At 39.4% G+C, this 26,553-nt stretch overlaps 1 protein-coding gene across 16 annotated transcripts in view; it reads left to right on the top strand.

Moving 5' to 3' along the window:
• The window catches only part of FOXJ3 (forkhead box J3), a 159,333-nt gene extending 133,938 nt beyond the window's left edge, over positions 1 to 25,395 (top strand). For all 16 annotated transcript variants that reach the window (XM_047449488.1, NM_001198850.2, XM_024454163.2 and 13 more), the window contains 7 exons: positions 2,713 to 2,841; positions 6,879 to 7,053; positions 10,224 to 10,640; positions 12,539 to 12,640; positions 13,015 to 13,206; positions 19,919 to 20,026; positions 22,118 to 25,395. In XM_047449488.1, the coding sequence (XP_047305444.1) occupies positions 2,713 to 2,841; positions 6,879 to 7,053; positions 10,224 to 10,640; positions 12,539 to 12,640; positions 13,015 to 13,206; positions 19,919 to 20,026; positions 22,118 to 22,233 (1,239 nt within the window). In that variant the 3' untranslated portion in view covers positions 22,234 to 25,395. The remainder of the gene's footprint in view (positions 1 to 2,712; positions 2,842 to 6,878; positions 7,054 to 10,223; positions 10,641 to 12,538; positions 12,641 to 13,014; positions 13,207 to 19,918; positions 20,027 to 22,117) is intronic.
• The last annotated feature ends 1,158 nt before the right edge of the window (positions 25,396 to 26,553 follow it).

The raw sequence follows: 26,553 nt of genomic DNA, 5'->3' as shown, positions 1-26,553 counted from the left end.
GACTTATCAAAACTGGCGCAAGAATAAATAGAAAATGTTAATACTTTTGTATATATTAAACCCATAATTAAAAAATATTTCTTTATAGAAGACTTCAGGCCCAGCAAGCTTCAAGGAATTCTTATAAATATTTAGTGAAAAAATAATATTGATTGTATATAAACACTTCAGGAGAATTTTAAAAAAGAGGTAACATGTCCCAATTTATATTATGAAACCATCATAACCTAAGTAGCAAAACCTGACAAAAACTTTACAAGAAAGGAAATTTTCAGCCAGTCTCATGAGCATAGGTATTAAAATCTTAAACAAAATGTTGTCTAATTTAACCCAGCAATACATAAAAAAGATAACATCACAAACACAGTTGTATTCTAGAAACGCAAGCTAGGTCTAGCACTAGGAAATCTGCTGTTGTTCTTCTGTTCATAGTTGGAAGTGCTACATGTATACTCCACATTTTATACGGAATATTACAAAGGCATACTCAGAGGTCATGACTTAATAAAACTCTTAGCTGTAAATAGGTGGAAATTTTTTCAGTGTGGTAAAGAATATCTACAAAGAAGCATATAGCAAATGCTATATTAAATGGTGAAATACTGAAAACTTTCTCTTTGAGGTATGGAAGAAGAGAAAGATGTTTGCCATCAGCACTTTTATTTGACATCGTGTTGGAGGTCCTTGCCAGTTAGAAGTTACAAACAAGAAATAAAAAGCATAAAGTTTGGAAGGACAGAAATAAAGTTGCCACAGATGATCACAGAAAATTGAAAAGAATCTACGGATAAAGCCTTAGAATTAATAAGTGAATTTAGTGAATTCTCTTCAGAAATCAATTTTATTTCTGCCTTGAAAATAAAATTTAAAAGATAACACTTATGTTAGCATTCAGAAACATCAAATACCTTGGCTTAAATGAAAGATGAACTCTACACAGAACACTATAAAAATTACTGAAAGAAAATGACATAGATTATATAATGTTCATGCAGAAGACTACTGTAAAGAAGACAGTTTTTCCAAAGTTGATATACAAATTTAATGTGATTCCAGTCCAGATGTTCTTTGTGGGAGAGAGGAGGTGGGTAGAAAATAAGCTGATAGTAAAACAAAAATGAGAATCTAAATGACCAACGGTAGCTAAAGGAAATATTGAAGGCCAGGTGCGGTGGTTCATGCCTGTAATCCCAAAGCCTCCTTTGGGAGGCTGAGGTGGGGTGGATCACGAGGTCAGGAGTTCGAGACCAGCATGACCAACATAGTGAAACCCCGTCTCTACTAAAAATAACAACAATTAGCCAGGTATGGTGGCGCGCATCTGTAATCCCAACTACTTTGGAGGCTGAGGCAGGAGAATCGCTTGAACCCAGGAGACAGAGGTTGCAGTGAGCCGAGATCGCACCATTGCACTCCAGCCTAGGCGACAAAGCGAGACTCCGTCTCAAAAAGAGAAAAAAAGAGAAAATATTGAAGAAAAGGATAAAACATGGAGGATTTATACTTCCAAATACATAAATGATAAAACAATAAAGCTCTGTTGCACAAAAAAATGAATTTTAAAAAGGAAAGAAGGAAATATAAAGAGTAGATATTAATGCAATAGAAAACAAGGCCTTGTAACAAGGATATACACTATGTGATTCCATTTATACTTAGTTCAAAAATAGGAAAACCAATCAGTAGTGATAGAAGTGGTTACCTGGGACAGGAGATATGGATGGATAATGACTTACGTGCATGATGAATGGGAGAGTACATGAGCTTCTAGAGTGCTGGTCATACAGTGTATCAGTGGTTCTCAAAGTGTGGTTTCTGGATGCCTGGGTAACTGAGACCTTTGTAGAGAGTCCATGAGGTCAAAACTCCTATTCGTGATAATATGTATTATTTTTTTCTTCCTTTATATTTGCCTTTTTTTTTTTTTTTTTTTTTTTGAGACAGAGTCTCGCTCTGTCACCAGGCTGGAGTGCAGTGGCGTGATCTTGGCTCACTGCAAATAGGCTAGTTTTCTATTCCAAAAATACCTTTTTTTGTTTGTTTGCTTCTAATTAAAAATTATAATACTTATAGACAAACTCAAGCACTGTAAAAATATACACAAATGTAAAAGTCTTCAGGAATCCTCAGCCCCTTCTAGATAACCATTAACAACAGTTTGACAGTTTTTCACATCTAATGCATATATTAGCATATTATTTTTTAAAAGTTAGATCATATAATTATGATTTTATAAATGTGTTGAACAGTTGTTTCCAATCTTCAGTATTAAAAATACTGTGATGCCTGTGATTTTAAAAAAAAAATCTTTTTTTTTTTATGTGCTTCGTTTTGATTTCTAAAATTCTGATAGACAGTAATTTTGCTTAAAGCCTGAGCAAAAATTTATGCATTATAGAAATATTTAATAAAGTAAAAATCTGTTATATTCCTCTCTTGTTAAATGTTTATGGGCTAATTATACCTGGTAAATTATGCTATAAATTAAATTTCTATACCTCTGAAAGACATGTCCTTTAGTTTGAGTATTGAGAAAATTATTTTATGATGAACACGAACTTAGCCATATGGGGCATGGAATTGGGGTGAGCACCTAGGGAAAGGCCACTGAGATTTTTTTCTTCTTGCCATATGCCTGCTCAATTGTATTTTTGCAGAGTTGCTTAAGAAGTACCCTTATATTCAATTGTCATTTTTCTTTTTTCATTTTAGGTAACATTGTATAACACTGATCAGGATGGTAGTGATAGCCCACGCAGTAGCCTTAACAACAGTCTCTCAGACCAGAGTTTGGCATCTGTTAATTTGAACAGTGTTGGAAGTGTGCATAGTTATACACCGGTAAGTCTTGATGAAGTTAACATGTTAATAGTTATTCATTTAGTACTTAAAACTAAACCAAACATAATTGAAATGCAAATTTAAAAATGAAGGTATGTTTTTCTCACTAATAAATTTATTAACTTAGTAAGTAGATCAAAATTAGAGGAGATTGTAGCTTGTTAGTGTTTTAATTTGGTACCATATTAGATTTTTAAAAAATGGTTGTGCAGTGTTAACAGATTTTGGTCTACTTTATTCTGTCCTGTGTCCAAGAGAAAAGCAATTGGAACAGGAAAAAAATTGCACTTTAGTTTAGTAGAGCAATAGTTGGTGATATTCTGTACTTCTTAGAGCTTAGAAGATGTGTGTGTCAACATGGTTTCCAGCTGTAGATCTGAGAAGGGAATTCTGTAAACCCCAGAGGTTAGGGTGGCCTGGTACACTCAATTGTTAACTACTCATGTATTTTCAGTTTGGATCCACGGGGGGAAAAGCCATGCTATAAAGGGACCTGTGTGTATGTATTCTTGCTCCTATGCTAATTTGTTACCTATTACAAGAACATGAGTCTTAGGTTATCTGTTATTTCTTTTCAAACTACCTGGCAACTGGTCTTCCTCAGTGAGCAGATAATAGAGCCCAAGAGCTACACACCACATTGTTTGTCAGTGTAAATTTGATCTTACCAGGTCACTCCCTGTTGTTCCAGGATGAGTAAATAGGAAAAAACTTACACGGGACAAAGATATAAAGGGAGGGACCCGAAAGAAAATAACACACGGGAAAGAAAAACGTAGCAGAATTAAAATTCACATTGAATGTAGGGAAAAAGTTGCCTCTGCAAAATTATTATTGCTCTGTAAAAAAAAATAAAGTATTATCCCACAATGGAGAAGAAAGAAAATGGAATAAAAATTATGTAAAAGAAGACAATAAATGTGGAGAACTGAGAATTATAGTTGTCCCTGCAGAAGAAAAAGTTGTTATAGAAGCAGTTTTCAGAAGAAATAGAGATTTAAAGGGTTACTGAGTTCTAGAAGAAATTAATGGGGAAAAAATCTATGCAGTCAGCCCTCCGTATCTGTAGGTTCCACATCCACAGACTTAACCAAACATTGGATTGAAAATATTTGAACAACAAAAAACAATTAAAAAAAAAAGGTACAGCAATAAAAAATACATGCTGGAATGAGGTGGCTCATACCTGTAATCCCAGTACTTTGGGAGGCTGAGGCAAGAGGATTGCTTGAGGCCAGGAGTTTGATATCAGCCTGGCCAACATAGTGAGACCCTGTCTTAAAAAAATGAAACAGCCAGGCATTGTGGCATGCACCTTAGGAGGCTGAGAAGGGAGGATCACTTGAACCCAGGAGTAATCACGTCACTCCACTCCAGCCTGGGCGATAGAGCGAGACTGTTATTTCTTTCTTTCTTTCTTTTTTTTTTTTAAAGAAAAAAATATAGTTTAACAACTGTTTACATTGTATTAGGTATTAATCATCTAGAGGTGATTTAAAGTGTATGGGAGGATAGGTTATATGCAAATATTACAGCATTTTGTATAAGGGACTTGAGCATGTGCAGATTTTGGTGTCCTAGTGGGTTGGGGTTCCTGTAACCAGTCCCTCGTGGATACCAAAGGACTGCTGTATCTAGATACATTATGGCAAATTTTAAAATTTCATAAGTAGTTACCCATAAAAATACTCTAACAGAATGAGTAAATTATATATAAAGAAACACAAATCAGACCTCCCCCCCTTTTTTTCTCTCTTTTTTTAGACACAAGATCTTGCTAAGTGGGCCAAACTGGTCTCGAACTCCTGGCTTAAGCAATTCTCCTGCCCTGTTGACTTCCCAAAGTGCTAGGATTACAGGCATGAGCCACCATGCCTGGCCTCAGGCTTCTCTTTGATGCTACTAAATGCCAGAAGATAATGGAGCATTGTATGCAGAGTTTTGAGGGAATGGGTTTGGAATAACAAATATTATGCCCAAATTTTAATTCATATGTGAAGGCAAGAGAAAGACGTTCCTTGATATGCAGAGATTAGAAAGTATCCTGCCCTTGTTTTCATGTGTCTTTCCTGAAAAAAATTACTTACCCGTGATCAAGATTAATTAAATTAAATAATAATGACAAAGTGGAGTTATAAAACAACCAGTTGGAACATTGAAGCAAACTAAGCAAAGATATAATGATTTTAAGTTGCTTTTTGAAGTAATTTAAGTGTAAAAAATCTTGACCAAAAGAAAGCAAAGCACACAGTCCAGTATCACAAAACATTATAAAAGGACAAATTAAAGAAGCATGTATAGAACTAGATGACAGACACAGCTAACATGTTCGTTGTGCCAATAAATGTAAGAGGGTTAAACTGCCGTGTTTAAAGCTAGACTTTGTAGACTGCTTTTTTTGTTGTTTTTGAGATGGAGTCTCTCTCTGTCGCCCAGACTGAAGTGCAATGGTGTGTTCTCAGCTTATGGCAACCTCTGCCTCCCAGATTCAAGCGATTCTCTTGCCTCAGCCTCTCAAGTTGCTGGGATTGCAGGCGTGAGCCACCACACATAGCTAATTTTTGTATTTTTAATTGAGGCAGGGTTTCACCATGTTGGCCAGGCTGGTCTCGAACTTCTGACTTCAGGTGATCCGCCCGCCTCGGCCTCTTAAAGTGCTGGGATTATAGGCGTTGAGCCACTGCACCCGGCCCTGCTACTTTCTTTCAACAACAAGGTGTCAAATGGTCGAGCGGTCCCTAAGCAACAGTGCAATGGCAGCTGCTGGTTGGGTTTATCACATCTATATAGTTTGATCCTGTAAGGCCACAATGAGCCCACATGGATTGAGATAATTTTATTACTTATACAGACAGTATAAACCAGGTTAGCATGGTGTCAGCTCCCTACATCCCACGTGACAGTACCAAAACAGAGGACCAAATGACAGACTACTCGAGTAGTAGCTCACTCTGTAATAGAGGAACAAATTCCATAGTGCAACTAAGCAGTTTTATAACCTGCAGCTGTACCCTAAGGGAGTAAGGCAGAAAGTCCCATGCCTCACTCAGCCAGGGAGGTAGATGAGAAACTGTTTCTTGGCAACCTCTGGCAAAATAGAAAGGTAGATGAGTAACTGCCCCATGGCCATCTCCTACAAGACATAAGGGCAGATGAGAATTTTCGCCTCAAAACCACTTGTTCCAGGATAATCACAGGGTGTTCCACCAAGGTTTAGGTCATCCTGCCATGGAGCCTTGCCTATATGGTTTGTGTGGAGATGTGTAAGGACACTAGGGTGCCAGTGGCGGAGCCATTTTCCTATGTAAAAATTCATATTTTTCCACGTTATTGCAGACTCCTTATGAGCATTATTTTTAATGGCTGCGTAAGTTTCTAGTCAATGTTCATACCTTAATTTTTCAAAACACTAAACAAATGGTAGTTTACCACCCTTTCATGTAGTACGTAGTCTTTAAGAAATACAGATGATTATCTTTTATTGATTTTATTTCTAGTTTTCCTGCTTTTAAAGATAAGTTTTCCCTGGAAATGAAGAGTTAGGCATATTTAAGCTCCTTGTTGCTTTGGGCAGAGCCATACATCTGACTCATAGTAATCACAGTATTTGGGTTTGTATACTAAAAAGTTAATTGAATAAATGAAAGAAATGTTAGTAGTTTTATGGCTTAGTGGAGTTTGAGATAAAATACCTTATGTAGAAATCAAGATTGAAGATTCTACAGAAAGGCTAGAAGGATTCTAGGCCTAACTCATCACTTATTTGTATGATCTGAGGCAAGTTATCTAACTTCTTTGAATTCTTTCCTTCTGTGAAGTATGGAGGTTGGGTTAGACTTCTACAGTTCTTCAAGATTCAGTTTAGCTGTTTTGCTTTCTGTCCATTATGCTTTAACAGAGGATGGGAAAGCCTAAGACAGAAGAGTTATTTTCTTTGAATTCCAATGTTGACACTGTTTTCAGTTATATATTTTATATAACAAGCCAATTGTAATTAGTAGAGAGGCTGAATTAGTTGTGTTTTCTTTTAATGTTAGGTGACAAGCCATCCAGAATCAGTCTCTCAATCATTAACTCCTCAGCAGCAACCACAGTACAACCTTCCAGAAAGAGACAAGCAACTACTTTTCTCAGAATATAATTTTGAAGATCTTAGTGCCTCATTTCGGAGCCTTTATAAGTCAGTTTTTGAGCAGTCACTTAGTCAACAAGGTGAGTTTTCTTAAAATCTTTTTTATAACAAAGTTTTATTGGAAAAAGGTTTTTAAATTATTTCACATGGCAGCTGTTATACTCTTAATCTTAGAATATTATCATCACAATAAGAATCAGGTAATTGTATTTTGCCCTTTGTGCCTTTACTGTGTTCTATTTATATCATAGCACAAAAATGGCAGATAAATTTTATGTTGCATGCCTACTTACTTGTTTACTAGTGGCATCCAGGAACACTGTGTTAAAGAATTCTGACACTGCATCTATACCATATGGGAAACACTACTATAATTAATTAGTGATATCTGGCATATGAAGTGTTTGAGTGGTGAATGTTGCACCACAAGAATAGATGTGCCTTGCTTTTGTTCTGACTGGTATTAGCAAAAAGAGATAACTATCGGAATGTGGTAGCGCCAAATTTGTGATTTTGAGTGTGGCACTTAGAAGTGAATACATCAGCTACTAGTAAACGCTAGGTCATTGTTGTACACGATATACTTAAGTCAGATTTTAATATTAAAAGTGACTTTAGTTGAGATACACTGTTGCATCTTGACCAAATGGTAGATTCTTGCTATAATGTGTTCTCTTCCCATTAGCTGCTGGTTTAATTTTAATCAGAGGGTAAAAATGTCACAGTATCTTTTCCCCAGAGATGAATTGTCAGAAATTGTTGGGAACTCTACTGTTGAAGCATTTCCTAATTACTTGTTTGTTTGGCACATTAACTATTTACACCCCATGTTTTATTCCTTTCCTGCTGCTGTGTCAAAATACCTTAGAATGGGTAATTTATAAACAACAGAAATTTATTTCTCACAGTTTGGGAGGTTGGGAAGTTCAAGATCAAGGAACCAGCAGATATGGTGTCTGGCGAGGGCTTGTACATCATAAATGATGCCTTTTAGCGGTATTCTCACATGGAGCTGAACGCTGTGTCCTCATGTGGCAGACGACATGGAAGGGCAAAAAGTAGCTAGTTCTCTCAACCCCTTTTGCAAGGCCTAATCCCTAATTACCTCCTAAAGGTCCCACTTCTTAATACCATCACCTGGGGGTTGAAGTTCCAACATACGAATTTTGGAGGGACACATACATTCAAACTGTGGCACCCCAACTCAGAAAGTTTCCATGTTCACAGCAGTGAACAAAAATGAACAGAAATCCTTGTCTTTATACTGTTTGCATTTTAATACTTACTGTCAGTTAATGTTATATACTGTTATTTATATTGATGTATACTGATGTTGTGTGTGTGAAATGGCTTTTTCTGGTTAGTATTTGAGTTTAAAGTAAGATTCATATGTTTTCCAACTTTTAAATTTTTCATCTATAAAAGTATAAAAAGAACTAATGGAAGACTTTGCTAAGCAAATCCAACCTTGGTATTCACAATAGAAAAATAAGGGCTTTGAAATAACAATGATGACAATTTCTGAAGCCCATAATTCCATTCCATCACACTATTAAAAAAAAAAAAAAAAGGAACATCGATAGGAAGTCTGGGTTCTAGTCCAGGTTCTGCCATTAAGTCAACTGAGTTTACTTCTCATCTCTGGACCTCAGTATCCCCATTTGTACAATAAAGAGGGTTGGATTAGATCAGTGATTTTCAGATTGTTCTCTTCAGAGGCCTTGGCTTTTGTAAAGATCTTAGGGACTGCAGGAGGAGAACTGTGCAGATGCAGAGGTAGACCTAGTAAGCTTCCTTCCCCAGCTTCAAAAAAAAAAACTATATTATACTTATCAGTTTTATATATTGGGCTTCTGGAGAGATATTTTGCTTTCTTTTATTTAAAAATAATTTGAGATTGAAAATGTTGATACAGATCAGACCTTGGTTCCCTTGTAAAATGCTAGGATTTTATTGAAAATTGATAAATTACTGCTTTCTTTGATCTTACAGTAATAACCCTATAGATTCCTTATATGTGACTATTTTCTAGGACCAAGGCAAGAACTTTTATTAACTCTTCTGCCTGTAAAACTTGGTAGCTTTTAAGATTATCTTGCAATGAACACAAATACAGTTTTACTACTAATGACAAATAGAATAATTTTATCTTTTTTAAAAAGCTTGATTCTTTTATTGATTGATATTATCTTGTGTTTTTTTTTTTCATTCAATAAAATTATTTTTATGTTTGGTTCAGCATAACATTGCATGGGCTACCCTTTAGGATTTGAAAATAGTCTAGTTACATAGAACCAAATGTTGCAGTAAGGTTATCTAACTACTTGGAGAACAAACATAAATTATCCTTAACATTAAACATTTTTGGCTTAATCATCATCATGGCAGCTAACATTTACAGAGCTCATCCTGCAGCTTACACCTTCACTATGTAGAAAGTAAAAAGTTCCTCTTCATAGTTTCCCTTCTTGTTAAAGAGTAAATCATAAGTGTTAGAAATAATAGTTTCTTTTAAAAACTAACTTCCTTTAAGCCTCCTTACTTTATGCTAATAACTTTTTGTTGGGCCCTATCCTGTGTAGCTGTTAAACATGCTCACAGGCACGTAGTACATTCTATGTCCTTGTACCTTAACTGAGATATTTGTGCTGGACGTGCTCACAGGCATGTTCCAGCTTGCAGCCTATGCCCCTTCCCTATTTGGCATAAACAACTTCCTCTTTTCCTTTGTCTTTCCATTACTTTTACCTATTTGGAAAAGTTTTAAACTATTAGCCAGTCGAGATTTAGTTTAGATTGTGCGGTCTTCTATCAAAGCCTTGGTCTTTATGCCTACAGAGAGCCATCCTGAGTGTGACCCCCACACCTTTCCCACTTTTCCCCGAACATTTCCTTATCTTTCAAGACTCAGTTCAGGCACTGTCTTTAAAAGAAAGGCTTCTCTATATTTTCAGCCTTCTCCTAGCTGAACAGACAAGGAGCAGTTTTCATAATCCTCTGTATACTTTAGCTTTAGTACTTAAATTGTTGGTCATAATCTTGTCTTTCTCTTCCACTTGAGGGTGGGGCATTATATTTCTTCTCAATAACCACAGAGCCTAGTGTGCAGTGGATGTTGGATTAACACTTATTAAATTGAACCAGTGTTGCTTCCTGGCATCATATGCTTTTGTTATGTTAATAATTTTACAAATGTTTGTCATAAAATACAACTGAAATCTGACCATAAATGATCTTGCTTTGTTTTTAGGTTTGATGAACATCCCTTCTGAATCTTCCCAGCAGTCCCACACTTCATGTACCTATCAGCACTCTCCCAGCAGTACAGTGAGCACTCACCCACACAGCAACCAAAGCAGCCTGTCCAACAGTCATGGCAGTGGCCTCAACACCACAGGCAGTAATTCGGTTGCACAGGTCTCACTGTCTCACCCCCAGATGCACACACAGCCATCTCCACATCCTCCCCATCGACCGCATGGTTTACCGCAGCATCCGCAGCGTTCCCCACACCCAGCACCACACCCACAGCAACACAGCCAGCTCCAGTCCCCTCACCCCCAGCATCCCTCTCCACATCAACACATACAGCACCATCCGAACCATCAGCATCAGACGTTAACACATCAGGCACCCCCACCCCCACAACAGGTATCCTGTAATTCTGGTAAGTTTTTGTCTCCTGGTTTGTGTTTGGCTAACTGTGAATTAGGATCTGTCCTTTGTTATTTAGAGCTCATGTAGTATTTACTACCAAAACCTCTTTACATCTGTTTCCTTGCTATAATCCTATAGTTGTAACTCATTTAATTCATAGACTGACCTGGCGACTTTCTTGATTAAAATTTATTGTGGCAACATAGGCAAACCCAGCAACCCTTGCAGGTTTTTATTTTAACTCTTGTTTATAATTTAGATACATTATCTTACATTATCCTGCCAAATCAAGTATAGATGACCACATTTTATATATAGGAAAAGTGCAACTAAAAGAATTTTAAGTAATTTGCTTAAGATCATACTGTGGTAAGTGGTAGAACTGGGGTTTATATTCTGACATGTCTGACTTCAAAGCTTATAACACCAGTTATTCTAAAAGAACTAAAATTAGCAGACATTTGCTAAGTGGGTAGGGTTTGCTCACCCAGTCGCTGCAGAGTTTGCTTTATTTTTATTTGCCAGGTCACTATTTATTAAAGGAGCCTCCTCTTCCTCTTACCCACAACAACAACAACAAATTAGTCATGGCAAATGTCCTGGTTCCTGCTCATAATTTCATTTCAGTTAACCTTTTTCCTACCCTGACCTTTTGACTACCTGAGTTGTGTTTACCTCAAGAGATCTGGATTCTAGTACTGCTTTGGCTGTTGTATTACCTAAGTGACTTAAATCATATAATTCCTTTGAACCTTGGTTTCCTTATCCATGAAGTTCTTCTTGAACTAAAGGATCTGAGTCTGGTAGACTTGCATGTTCGTGGCTCATTTGGATATTAGTTTAATCCCCTCCCACCTAACAAATTTCTTCCTAAGTTACGACTTGCTTCATGGCAGGGTCATGTTGTCTCTAGTTGATTGTTTATTTTAAAAATCCATTATTGGCAGAATTTTGTAATCAAGTAGCCAGTAGTTGATATAGCCAAGAGTTGCCTTGATGTAGCAAAAGCAAACCAACCAGCCCTTTTTATTGGTCTTTATCTTCATCCATCCGGGGGAGGTCCTAGAAACAGTGGCTTGACAGCAGTCACTGAAATGAAGAATTTTCTTCCACTATTCAGCACTGCTGTCTCATTGAAGGTAACTCTTGCTGCATGGCCTCTGACTAATGACTGGTTTGCTGACATACAGATTATGGAGTCTTAAACTCTTCTGATGTCATACCAGAGGATACCATTTCTGACTAAAAATGCCCTGACGTGGATTCATCAGCATTTCTTGCAGAGATCTCACCCTTCTTCCTTCGCTACCTTGGCAGGGGGACTATGTTAAATTTTTTTCTCCTAAGGTTGCCTTGGAAGAAGCATTTACTCTTACTATATGATCTAATCCACCTGCGTTAAGTCATTGCATTAAATTGTACTATGTGTTGCCTCTAAATGTGAACCTGCCTCTCTTGAGTTTTTTAAGGTCATAAGAAGACAGGAAAATGAACTTTATATAGGGGAAAATACAGATTTGTGTGGCATTTCCTATCTGTTCATTTATTGGTACTGTAATGTAAAGAGCAGTATCAAGTTTGATATTACTAGGTGATGTGGCAATTTGGAAACTGCTAGACTGGAGGTTAGAAGACCTGGGTTCAAGTCTTAGATTCATCATGATAACCTTGCTAAGTTATGTCACTTCTCTGGTTCAGTTTCTTTTATTTGTAAAATGGAGAGAAATAATACCTTTCTGCCTGTCTCACAGAGCAGATTGCCCAACACGTGATATAATGGGTACAAATCCCCTTGTAAGACGGGACAAGAATCAGCCAATTTCAGGAATAAGGGCAGCTCATCGTTTTCCCTTACCACACTTCACCCTTTCACCATCCAGGAATTACACTGTTGTCAATATTTTATAGGTGTTTCAAATGATTGGTATGCGACACTTGATATGCTAAAAGAAAGCTGTCGAATTGCCAGCAGTGTTAATTGGTCAGATGTAGACCTTTCACAGTTTCAAGGTGAGTGTTGGTTCTTTTTGACATATAACCAAATACACATGATCCTGTTTCTCTGCTAGATTATAACTTTCTTTGTAGTAGAAATAAACATCATCTTATATAGCATTTCTTTTGCAGTTGGTAAAATTCATAATAATTTTGGCCACTTGGTATAGCAGAGGGTCACAGACAAGTTCTGAAAGAAATTTGACCACATTTAAAATAATTGGGCTTTGAATAATTTAAAAAGGTCATTCTTCATTGCGTGGATAAATCACTACCATAAAGTGGAGTGAGTGGAAATTTTGAGAGCTGAAAAAAATTATGTCTTGCTATTTTCCTTGCAATGTTTATTGCATAACAGTGCTAACATATTTTTAATGCTTTCCTCATAGGTCTGATGGAGAGTATGAGACAGGCAGATCTCAAGAACTGGTCTTTAGACCAGGTTCAGTTTGCCGATCTTTGTTCTTCTCTTAATCAGTTCTTTACACAAACTGGCCTTATACATTCACAGAGTAATGTTCAACAAAATGTTTGTCATGGTGCCATGCATCCAACAAAACCTTCCCAACACATTGGAACAGGTATGGGGTTAGTTATCTTCTTGATTTTTCTCATTTTCTCATTCGTACGAAATTTAGTAACTGTCTTAACCAACTTGGTTTGCTGCTAATGGTGACAGTGATCTGTTTACAAATTTTTATTTATAAGAAATGAATGAAAGCAAATAATTTATATGTAGGGTATATCTTAGAAAAATTGAGGTAATGAGACTATGTTTTTCTGTTGTGATTTATATGATTGCTTTATTATTTACAGTTAACTGTTGTAACCATTATCCTTTTACTAAGTTATCAAACAAGAAATATATTGGAGATACTTACGTTTTTATAGGAACATAATTATGAAATTATATTTAAATTTGTACAGATCTGCAATGGAAATCAACGTGTCTTGTGTATCTCCTAAGAATGTTAAAATTGAACAATTCGAAGTGTTTGAAGAGTAGACGTAATGGAAAATAGTCTCACTGATGTTTTACTTTAGACCCAAAATCTTTCCTGTATATTTTTTAAATCTCGCTTTCTTCCTTCATTCTTTACCCTTGCAGCCATGTCTTCTACTCTGATTGCACATTTTTCTGTAGGAATTTCATATCCAAGTTACTTCTTTCTTCATTTTAATTCCTTACCTTCTCTTATCATCAAGTTTACTTCTTTTCTGTATGTTATATTGATTTTACATTTTATGCCAACAAGCTCTCTCTTCTCTATCCTGAGTGGCTTCCTTTAACCATTATTCTATCTTACTTCACATCTTTCGTTCACCCATGGTTTGAGTTTATTCAAGTCAAGCTTATCAGTCTGTGTCTTTCTTTTCATGAAATCTTTATTCCTGTATCCTTTGATGTAGTGGAAATCTATTATCTTTTCTTCTTCCACGTTGAATAGCTTTTCCTAAGCTATTTTGAATAGCTTACCTTGCCTGAAACCTTCAGTCACTATTTGATTCTGGTGACCTATTCATTCAGTAAATTACATCCACACAAGGGCCTTGTTCAGTCCCTGGCTGATTGCCCTCTGTGCCAGACACTAAAATTTAGTTTTTGATAACTTTATAGCTTCTTTGTCTCTCTCTCTCTCTCCTTTTGTTAGTTCTTTTTGGTATCTTTCTGATATATATTCATTTTTAAGCATCAAGATCTCTGTAATTCAGGTATCCTCACTTATGTGCCCTTCTTCCATTTCTTTTTTTAAAATCTTTTCTTGCAGATGGACAGCGTGTCTTCTTTGTTTCTCTCATGGGTTCTAAGCCCATACTTTGTCCCTTTCAGGATATATCACTTTAATTTTTCCAACTTGCTTTAAGTCCTCCTTAGACCAGGTGTACCACCTCTCTCTGTTTTTTGTCCCTTTTTTCTCCTTTCCTCTTTTCTTTCTGTGTTCATCCAAAATTGTTGCTTCTGAGTGCTGTCATGCTGTTCACTTCTTTGCTAACTCCATCTCTAACCATTTCAGTCAGCCTCAAAAAGTACTAAGTGAAATTAAATAGCTTATGTATATATCACTAGTCTTGTGTGTTTGGGGGTAAGTACCTGTGTTGCTCATAGATTGTTGCCGTAGGCAGGAGAAGTAGAAGATGATGTGGGTCAGTGTTAGAAGAAGGCAGTCTCGGCCAGGCATGGTGGCTCATGCCTGCAATCCCAGCACTTTGGGAGGCCGAGGCGGGCTGATCACCTGAAGTCAAGAGTTCGAGACCAGCCTGGCCAACATGGCGAAACCCCGTCTCTACTAAAAATACAAAAATTAGCCGGACCTGGTGGCACATGCCTGTAATCCCAGCCACCCGGGAGGTTGAGGCAGGGGAATCGCTGGAACCTGGGAGGCGGAGGTTGTAGTGAGCCGAGATCACACCAGTGCACTCCAGCCTGGGTGACAGAGGGAGACTTCGTCTCAAAAGAAGAAGAAGAAGAAGGCAATCTCAAAAGCCAGTGTACATGTTAGGCAGCAGCTCTCATGTTGGTGAATTTCAGTTTTGTGCCCTAAGTCTGTAAGAAAGGTCTATGTGTACCTTTTGGTCTTGGAACTTGGTAGTTTTGTCATGGAAAAAACACTTTATCTGCTGCTGTCCTCTGTCAGAGTACCCAGGCACTCCTTCTAGATTCTCTCTAGACTGAGATCCTGAGTTATTTTCCTGAAGCCCTTTGTTCCTCAACTTCTGTAGTCATCTATTCTTGAGCCTTGACCTTGGTTATTTGTTCTGGTGTTCTGTGATTCTGTTAATTTTTTCTGTCATCTCTTTTGTTAGGGCCCTCCTCCTTTCTAGGGTCCCGATGACACCTTCGTGATTCTCAGTGCTACCCTAGTCACAGCCTATCAAAGGTAGAAAAACTATAGTTTTTCTTCAGTGTTTATTCAATTCTTTCTACTCTCACTCCCCTTTTGTATTTTCCTTCTGACTCATGCCTGCCAAGCTGTTTTGGCCTCTGACAACAGTTGTTCTCTCATCAATTATGGTGCTCCAAGTATTCATCACTTCATGCCTGCTGATGTCTGTTCACAAATATTCAGATTTTTTTTACGTGTCCAGCCTGCTTCCTCTTGTTTTAAGTGTCAGTGTCTTTCTGTCATTCCTTTTTTCTCTGTCTTACATCCCTGTGTATCACATCCATTCAGATCTTTTACTTCCCTCATCTCTGCACCCCAGTAATTCTTTGTCATAATTTCTTAGAAGTATAGTCAAGAGGAGACTTTCAGAGAGCTGTTAATTTTATCCCTTTATTTAACAGATAAGGACATTGTAATCCAGGGGGAGAAAGTGACTTACCCAATGTTGTAAAATTCATTTAGGTGTAGGTCTTGAGTCCCAGAATATAGTCTCTCCATTTCCTTAAACCTTTCCTGTCATTCCTGTCTTCAAGGACCCGCTTGGTAAACACCTCCATGAGCTTCCTGTAGACTCCAGAAATTAGTGGTGTAGTGTGCTAGTGTGGAAGGGGGAAGGGGAGAAGGTTGTTATAGAACACAGTCTATGACATCTTTTCCTAAATCTTTTTACCTGTGGTTATAATTTGTTTATATCTTCTGGCTCTACTATTCTAATTTGATGCGTTGCTTAAAGGTCATCATTAAATATAGGTAGGAATGCAGTCATTGAGCACACACTAGACACCTTTTCTGTGTCTAGCTTTGTATTGGGCACTGAGAATAAAGACATGACCCCTGTAGTAGCTTTTACCTAAAAGAGTTCACAACCTAGTGGTTGAGACAGATCCATCAAGAAATACAGTATGTTCACTTTGGGAGACCGAGGCAGGCGGATCATGAGGTCAGGAGATCGAGACCACCTTGGTTAACATGGTGAAACCCCGTCTCTACTAAAAAAATACAAAAAAATTAGCCAGGCGTGGTGGCAGGCGCCTGTAGTCCCGGCTACTCAGGAGGCTGAGGCAGGAGAATGGCATGAACCAGGGAGGCAGAGCTTGCAGTGAGCCAAGATCGCGCCACCACACTCCAGCCTGGGCGACAGAGCGAGACTCCATCTCAAAAAAAAAAAAAAAAAAAAAAATTCAGTATGTTGAGGGCTACACTTCTCCATAGGGTTTAAGTGCAATAAGAATTCAGAGAAAGGGGTGCATACTTCTCTTGGAAAGATGGAAAATTTTTCTAGAAGACAGCATATTTAAGCTGGACTTTGTAGGTTAAGTAGGATTTTGCAAGACAGAGAGGTCAGATCATGTCACGTCTGTTTTCTGCTCAAAACCCTCCATCTTTCTCAGTAAAGACCAATGTTGTTACTATGGCCTATATGGCCTACACAATCTGATCACTGATTATTTCTGATCTTGTCTTCTGCCTTCTCCCCTCCACGCCTGTGCTTCAACACTGCTGGTCTCCCTGGTGTTCTTTGAACACACTAGGTAGCACACTCTACCTAAACAGGGCCTTTGTACTTGCTATTTCCTCTTGTCCAGAGTGGTCTTCCCTCAGTTAGACACATGACTCATTTCCTCATCTTGTTCCGTTGTTTTTCCTCAAAAAACACCTGCTCAGGGGATGCCTTCCTTGGTCATCCTATTTAAATGGCACCACTACTCAGCAGTCCTTGTTCTCTCTCTCTGCTTTTTTTCCATAGCATGTTACATACTATTTAATTTACTTTGTTTGCCCCTACCCAACATGCCCAAGAATACACACCCGAAAAGCAGAGTTGTGTTTTTTCATTGCTGTATCCATAGTGCCTCGAGCAGTGCCTGAAATCTTTGGAAACTGCATTGGAAGTTAATTTCTTACATAGGAAATTCAGGAATACACTCATTCAGACTCTATATTGAGAATATGGGAAAAAATGAGAATTAATGGGAATTTCTATATGAAAATAAAAGTGTTACGCATATGATGGAATTACAGAAAGTTAAGACTTTTATGTAGATGTTTGTTTATTGTCATAATCCTGTAATTCTTTCTCCCCTCTGCCTTTAAGGTAAGAATTACGAAGCCATAAAAGAGAAGTGGTAAAAGATTAATTCCCAATAAAAATCAGTTTTACATTTTCATTATGACATGAACTCGAAAGATGTGTAGAGTGAGAGCTAAGATTTTGAAGGACAGAGACAGGGAAGTTGTGGGTATATGAGTGACCCTATTACTCTGAGTGGTGTGGCCCTTCCAGCTTGGTGCAGTCTTTACAAAGTACACTAGGCGTGCATGTGAAGACCGATCAGCATTTGGAGACAGGATTCCGCCCCACGTCACTCGTACCAGTATTAGAGCTGTAGTTTAGTATAACTTTTCTCCTCTTTTTTCTTTCTAAATCATCAGTATGGTCAGTCAGTCAAAGAGGTCAGTTCTGACTATAAACTTCACTGATAAAAGGCATGTTATCATGGGAGGCAGGGACAGGGGGTCAGAAGTCTTGAATTCTGGTCCTGGTTCTGTCTCATTTCCTCTGTCCCTGTTTCCCTATCTGCATGGACAGAGGTAAGGTCAGATTAGATTATCTCTGAGGCCATCTCAAGCCTGGATAGTCTGGCTTTCCACTGGAGGGTAAAGACTTGTGAGCAGCCAAATACAGAATGCCTTACCTTAATAGAAGTGGAAGATTTTTTCTACTCTTTTTAGTTTCCTCTGGGAAAATGATTACTATTTTTTAGTTTCATTACAACATTACTAGAATTCAAGTGTAATTTACATGAAATAGTAGATAAACTTAGGGAAGTAGCCTTTCCAGAATTCCAGATGTTCCTTACAATGTGAACCGCTTTTATAATCATTCCTCATGAGTTATTGGAGGAGGGGTCATGTTTGTTCTCTCTTTTGCATTGTGATGTAACGTAGTTGACATTTTGGAGGCGATAACACTTGATGTCTCCTGTTAATGAAAATATATTAAGAACCTTCTGAAGTAAAATTTGAATGAGATCCATGGTCCCCATCCTCACATTCTAGGATAATACTCCCCTCCCCTCCCCTCCCCTCCCCTCCCCTCCCCTCCCCTCCCCTCCCCTCCCCCACCCCGCCCCGCCCCCTCCGCTCCACCCTCTCCGCTCTCCTCTCTCTTCTCTTTTGACAGGGTCTCACTCTATTAACCAGGCTGGAGTGTAGTAGCACAATCTCGGTTCACTGCAACCTCCGTCTCCCAGGTTCAAGTCTGAGTAGCTGGGACTACAGGCTCATGCCACCACACCCAGCTAATTCTTTGTATTTTTAGTAGAGACAGGGTTTTGCCGTGTTGGCCAGTCTGATCTTGAACTCGTGACCTCAGGTGATCTGCCCGCCTCTGCCTCCCAAAGTGCTGGGATTATAGACCTGAGCCACCATGCCTTGCCCAGAATAATGTTTTTAATCATCATTGCTTGTTGTAGCTCTTTTACCATGTGCAGATCTTTATTGTTACTTTGTGCTTCCCAGGTACTTGTTAATTAACAGGGGCACACATGGTTACACATAGTTAGGCCTGCTTCGAGGGTGAGAACATCAGGGAAGTAGAGAAATAGGTGGTGATGTAGAAAGAGTCCATGAGTGGCTGGGTGCGGTGGCTCATGCCTATAATCCCAGCACTTTGGGAGGCTGAGACAGGTGGATCACTTGAGGTCAGGAGTTTGAGATCAGCCTGGCCAACATGGTAAAACCCCATCTCTACTAAAAATACAAAAATTAGCCAGGCGTGGTAGTGCACGCCTGTAATCCCAGCTACTTGGGAGGGTGAGGCAGGAGAATCGCCCGAACCCAGGAGGCAGAAGTTGCAGTGAGCCGAGATTGCGCCACTGCATTCTAGCCTGGGTGACAGAGTGAGACCCTGTCTCAAAAAAGAGAGTCCATGAGTTAGGAGATCTGGATTGTAGTCCTAGCACTGTCAAACTAATGTGTCTTTGGGCAAGTCAGGTTAGCCTTTCTGAGTTTCAGTTGCCTCATCTGTAAAATGGGTGTAACAATCCCTGTCTTACCCTCCTTTGGGGCTTAGTGGGAGGGTCAGATGAAGTAATGGATACAAAAATACTTTTGAATTGTAATGAGGTATGTGATAGCAACAATAATAGACATAACTTGCCTACCAGCGTACAGTTAGTGGCAGCGCTAGCATTAGTTCAGTGTGTTCACACCCGGCCTGGCACCCTGTTCAAAAGGCCAAGACCACAATTTTAGCATCTGAAAGGAGTAATATTTTCTTCCCCCTTTCTCCTTATTTTACCTGCTTAATTTACTTTCAGAGTAACAATTCTGTTAAGATTTTAGTGCTCCATTTGTTTTATTTGTGGTAACATGTTTTCCCTCTTTCTGCTTTTAATCTGATTAGGAAATTTGTACATAGATTCTAGGCAAAATCTCCCTCCTTCAGTGATGCCACCCCCTGGTTATCCTCATATCCCACAGGCACTCAGCACTCCAGGAACAACGATGGCAGGTAAGAGAGAGAGAGAGAGTGAGTGTGTGTGTGTGTGTGTGTGTGTGTGTGAGCACTCCAGGAACAACGATGGCAGGTGAGAGAGAGAGTGTGTGTGTGTGTGTCAGTTATTACCCAGAGTTTAATATTGAGAAGCATGTGTGTGTGTCAGTTGTTACCCAGAGTTTAATATTGAGAAGCGTTAGCTTTCCCGATGGTGAATGAGGCTGCCTCAAGGAGTGAACTCCCTGTTAAGAGGGGCTAGGGGACAATGTCTGGACAGCCACTTGGCACTTGTGCTAGCAAAGGGATTCAAGCATCAGTTGGAGTTTGGACTGTAGGACCTGAAGTCCTTATTAGCCCAAGATGCAATGATTCTACTTATTCTAGTTATTTATTGTCTTGCCTCTCTAAGAAGTCCTGGGGTCATAGTTGAGGGTGTTTGACAGGACTTTAGCAGGTTTTAGGAACCTACTTTATTAGCTCCTGTAGATTCTGCTTCATTCATTCCTATGGAGTTCCCCCAGCTATAGTTTCCAGGGAAGTACCTTGTAGAGAAGGTAAATTTTAGGTGTTAAGTGGTTCATACACTTTTCCCGCTGGGTTCTTGAATGCAGGATTCATTTAGCCAGCGGAATACGGCACATTGTTAGAGCTGGAAAGTATCTTAAAGATCACTTAGGATAATGGAGGCTCTGAAGGAGAAATGCCTTGCCCAGGCCACCCAGTTTAGTGAGTGGCCAGATCAAGACTCAAGCCCCAGTGTCTGGATTCAGAGTCCGTTGTTTTTCTCACATACCACACAATCCTTTACTTAGGCTATTTGAGGAAAAGACATAAAGGTAATGGGGTTGGGGGTGGATTTAAAACCTTGAAGAACTGTGTGGCAGACAGCAGTGAGGAAGGAGTTGGGATCAAGTGATATGTCCTTTGCTGAAGGGGGAAGGAATGTTAACCTGTTGTGAGTGCTTACTACTAATTTGTAAGTGGCACCATAAGGTGGTAAGGCTCTGGAGCCAGATTGCTTGTGTTTGAATCTTCATGCTTTGCCACTTAATGGCTGTGTGATATTAGGCAAGCTACCTAACCCTCCTACCTCAGCTTCCCTGTTTGTAAAAGGGGCTAATAAAACTACCTGTGTCCTCGAGTTGTTAGGATTGAATGAGAATCATGTAAATTAGTGCCTGACCCACATTAAGGAACTTATAAGTTTTTTTTAAATGGAGGCATTTTACCTATATTGTGATATACTGAAAACCTTAGCATTAAATAATTGTACAAGAAAATATTTCAGGGCATATGAGAAAAATGAGTAGCAGACTACTTGAAATTTTGTAATCAGAGTACTAAAAAAAAATCCAGTAAAACTTCCACAACAGTTAAAAGGATATGTATAATTTGTAATAAAAGAAAGAATTCTACAAGTAAATATCAACCTCTACTTTTAAAAAGCAGCTGGTTTAGAAGGGGGGGGTCTGTCAAGATACGGTGGAGACACAGACCCAATGAATCAAAATTGGGGAGCATAAACAGCACATGGCCAAACTGGTACAAGAAGAGCATGGGAAGGTGGGCATTCTGTACTCAGCTGTGGTTCCTTCTGGTTTCCTGTGTTCCCTTGTTGATGTCCTCTGTGTTCACTTGACATTACTTGGTGGCACAGAAATTAGCTTGCTGGGGAAAATTCAGTATGACGTCATTGGTGCACTGCCATCATTATCCTGTTTACCATTCTCATGGGAGCCAATTCATGTTACTGAAACAACGTATTGGAGCAAAACAGACTGTAAGAGCAGTGGCTACATTGGCACTTTTCTCGTGTCTTCCTTACTGCAGCCTGGTATAATGGAAGGAGTGTGGATCAAGTGAACTGACCTCAGATCCTATCTTTGTCCCCTACTGGTTGTGTGACTTTGGGTAATTTACTCATCCTCTTAAACCGTATCCCCTTACCTATAAAATAAGGATCATAAGAGCCACTTTTTGAAGGCTTATGGTTGAATTAGTGAGATAATGTGTGCCTGGCATATAGGAAGTACACAGTAGGGGTTAGTTTATTTCTTACTTTCTTCTCTACCCAAGTCGCTGCTATTATTGCCTCTTTCCTTCCAGGCCATCACAGAGCCATGAACCAGCAGCACATGATGCCTTCCCAAGCCTTCCAGATGCGGCGTTCCCTGCCTCCAGATGACATCCAGGATGACTTTGATTGGGATTCAATTGTGTAGGGCTTGTTTCTGCAAGACACCAGACCCTAACGTTACCTTTCTGTGCAGTGAAGGGAAAGGTTTAAGAGAATCCAGTTGAGAAAACAAACTTGCTAATCACTTTACCAATGTTATCAAAATTACTTTTGAAGACAATCAGAAGGATTTTAGCTGGATAACTTACTGCTTTTATCTGACCCAAGCAAGTACTACATGTTTGTCTCCCTGCCAGCTGCCCTATGTAGCTCCTAACTGTTGTGTGATTTGGACGGCTTTTTGCATATTTGTGTCAGTTTGATGTTAACCACAAGTGCCAGACTGATTTTTCAGACGGAGCCTATTTTGCTGCAAGCAGTTTATATAAAGATACATATGTGTAAATATATGTACAAAAATTACTGAAAGGCTTCAGTTTTTTCTAATTGGATTATTATGTCTTGAAAGTTATTGTCAGTTTTTATTCCTTGTTAGGCTATTTTCTGCAGGATGCTTTTAACTGATGTAGGAAACTGAAAGGAAATAGATTTTTTCCAAAACCCAGTTCCCCTTATTTAATCTTTTTTAGAAATGTGGGTAATGAATTCTATCTAATAAGTCAAGGAAACCAGAATTTGACACACTCCAACAATCCGAAGGGGCATGTTGCTCCTGAGCAGCATGAAGAACTGACCAAATTGGTTTTGATGCTTGGGGGATCATAGAGTATTTATGTCTGCTTTTCTAAATCTGCATTATAATAGCTCTAAAATTTGTTGATTGGTAAGAAATTGGGCATTGCTTGGCTCTTTAAACACATCAGTGCTTCCACATTCACCTATGTATTTATTATTCAAAAGTGTCATTTTAATATTTATTGCTACCTTCTGTGAATGCTTAGCTCCTGTCGGGTTCATTAAGGAGAAATGTGTCTGAAAGCACAGAACTATTATTATTTTTTTCTTTTTTTGAGATGGAGTCTTGCCCTGTTGCCCAGGCTGGAGTGCAGTGGCACGATCTCGGCTCACTGCAACCTCCGCCTCCCGGGTTCAAGCAATTCTCCTGCCTCAGCCTCCCGAGTAGCTGGGAGTGCAGGTGCACACCGCCATGCCTGGCTGATTTTTTGTATTTTAGTAGAGATGGGGTTTCACCATGTTGCCTGGGCTGGTTGCAAACTCTTGAGCTCAGGCAGTCTGCCTGCCTCAGCCTCCTAGAGTGCTGGGATTACAGACATGAGCCACTGCGCCTGGCCCAGCGTTACTTTTCTTGATAAGAATTTACAGATAAGACACTCAGAGAGACATTGTGTCATTCTCTATCATCACTCCTTTTACCATGTGAATAGATTTCTCTGTCTTGGCATTCTTGCTGATTCAGACTTATTAGTTAAATCGGATTTTTCTGGAATTTGAATCAGATTTCATTTGGGCAACAACAGCAGGGCAGGGTTTCTAAAGCAGGTTTCCCCACTCATCTAGGTTGTCTTGAAAGGAGGATAGAGCCACTTACAGTTTTATTTGCTTCAGTGTTTAATGTAGATATTATGTGGCCTGCTGTTTCTGTTGTCTTGTATGTCTGTGTATGCATGACATTTGGTCCCTTTCTTTGAAATGCAGCCCCTCTTACGGGTTTTTTAGTGGTGGTGGTTTGTTTTGTTTCATATCATATCACAGTTTGCATGGACTGATTATCTTAGTTTTATGATAAAACTAGAAGAAATGAGGGTTTTTTTTTAATGAATAGATTTTGAATTGATTCTTTAGACCCCCCAAAAAGTGTCAGTTCTAATGGGGAAATATATTCCATCAAGTCAAAGAGTAATAACTGCTCACTAGTTGCTTTTTAGCATCTCTGGTCTTATCAGCCATGCTAAATCACTTTAATTAGCCTTAGTGATTCTATGGTTGAGTAATCTCTACTTGAACTAAACAAACATCTTTTGTTTCTGTGTGTGTGTGCTGTGTGTGAGAGTGTGCGCGCGCGTGTGTGTGTGTGTGTTTTAATGGAGTGTTGCCTTGAATGAATCACTGGGAAGCCAGCCATGGTAAGGGCTGGTGAGGTTGGGGAGAAAGGAAGAGCTTTATGTTTCTCTGTTGTTTGGACCCTACTTGGCATGAAAAAGGAAGCTCAGTTCCAGCCCCTTGGATCAACGAAAATCAGAGGATTCTGGAAAGGCAGCCAACTTGCGCCTCTTAGAAGGATCAGAGGCAAGATGAGATGGCAGCCTGCAGAGTAAATGCTTGAAAAAAGAGGGGTGATTTTCAATGGTTTGCTTAAGTCACTGTTTTCTAGACACCAAAATAGCTGTTTTGAAACTGTTTTAATTGCTTGGGTAGCAATGTGCACTTTAAACAATTTGGATATTGGAATGCAGTCTCATACTGAGTGATTTGAGTAGAACCACTGATGATGATTTTATAAATTGTGTGAAGCGAATTTCCCATTTGGCAATCATTTACTGATTTGCAGTGATGAATATTTTTATGAGAATTTAAACTTAGCAAGAATGGCCATGGAGGCAAAGCCTTCACCCAGACCCATCCCACTCTCCTGTGATCCAGGTGGTCCAGGAGCCCAGGACAGGCCTTTTCTGTGGGCCCTGGCCAGACAGGGTTACCTGGTGAGGTGCAGAGAGTCCCTCTAGTGGCCATTTTGTATGGTAGTTGCTAATGCAGAACAAGTTCTGTCTTGGGCTTAAATTGACTGAAGACTTTAGGGGGAAAGAATAGTAAATGCATGTAAACAAATGGGGACACTCTGTTCAGGAGAATAATCCGACTGGCATTTGTGGCAGTTTTTGAAATGTAAATGTATTCATGTGTGTTCTTGTAAATACGTGTCGCTCAGATGTCCTTTGAAGTGGGAGGGAATCAATCCGGGGATAATTTCAAATGGAATAGAGTATTTTGATATTGTTCATTCAGAGGGTGATGTGTACATATCTATATTGTATATATGTGATGAAAATGCATTGGCTTTTTGTGCAGATACAACCTGCTCTCTGTACTGCTGTTGGACAGTCAGTGTTTTAATGTTTCTACAGTTTTGCTATTGCACGATTTCATATTTTGCCTCTATGATGAACGGCAACCATTATTTGTAACTGTTTAGTGCTGTAAAGAAATATTCCAAGTGTCATTAGGATTGTTGCTGCCAGAACTGATATGCATGAATGGCACTTAAAATAAATATATTATGTTAACTCTATTTACAACACTGATTGGTCTCCGTTGTTTGCTGTAATTGAAGAAGTGAGAATGGAGCTAGTCCAGGTGCAGAAACCCCACAGCCAGGACCCCAGAGTCCTTGGGGTCACTGAGATTGTGTCCTTTGCATTACTACCTGAGGACAGTAATTGCTGCCATTTAGTGAGCATCTTATTAGCTCCATGAACTTGGGGAAGTCACTGGATTTCCCTGGGCCTCATTTTCCTTATTTGCAGCGCCAGTACAATGAGGATAGTATCTGCCTCCTAGAGTTGTAGTGGGATTTACATAAATCAGTACATTTAAACATTTAGGACAGCACATGGGACATAAAGCATACTGGTACTCAGTATGTGCCAGGTGCTGTGCTAAGTAGATATTGTGGTCCTCCTTTTACCGACATGGGAACAGCTCAGATAGAGGTATAGAAACTTGTCTAGATTCTTCAGTTGGCAGGTGATAGAGCAGAGGTTTGAATCCAGGTCATTTGATTCCAGGCATCATGTTTTTTGCACAATCCTCTCATACTTACTGAGGGAATTCCCCTCTCCCTACCCCCTGCCCTTGCCCCATCTTGTCCCCAGCACTGCCTTCCCAGAGCTATTTCCAAAAGGTGAAAGTGGGGCTTTACATTTGCTGAGCACATATTCTGTGTTAAGCCCTCTCATGAGAAATCCAGAGATGAGGAAGCCGCAGTTCCTGCCTTTAGAGGGTGCAGACTTGCCCAGGACAGGTAGCAAATGCCAGCCCAGGGAGGCTATTCTGAAGGTATGCTCTGGTAAGGCAAGATTCTGGTGATGCGGAGTTAGGTCATACTGAGGATTGGGGCCGTGGTTTAGGAGAGGCTCCAGGTATGGGCTACCAAGTTGAGTCTTCAAAGGGTCCCAGACAGATGGGAGGAGGTATTGCCATTTATACCATTACCTTGGGCAAGGCATGGGAGCTACCTTAGCATGGGGGTTGTGGGTTGAGGCAAGAGAAGTGCAGGGCTGCTGGTCAAGAGCTGAGCGTAGCAATTCTGTGAGAAATGCTGTCCCCACTTCACTGATGTGGAAACAGGCCCGGAGAGGCTAAGCAACGGGCAGACCAGCCATGTGGCTGGAAGTGAGATTAACCTGGAGTCCCTCCCACTCTAGAAGGGGGACCTTTTCATCAATCC

Source organism: Homo sapiens, chromosome 1, assembly GCF_000001405.40.
Source record: "Homo sapiens chromosome 1, GRCh38.p14 Primary Assembly".
NCBI classification, from domain to species: Eukaryota; Metazoa; Chordata; class Mammalia; order Primates; family Hominidae; genus Homo; species Homo sapiens.
The sequence above is the reverse complement of the archived record's forward strand: the minus strand, read 5'-3'. Positions and strand labels throughout refer to the sequence as shown.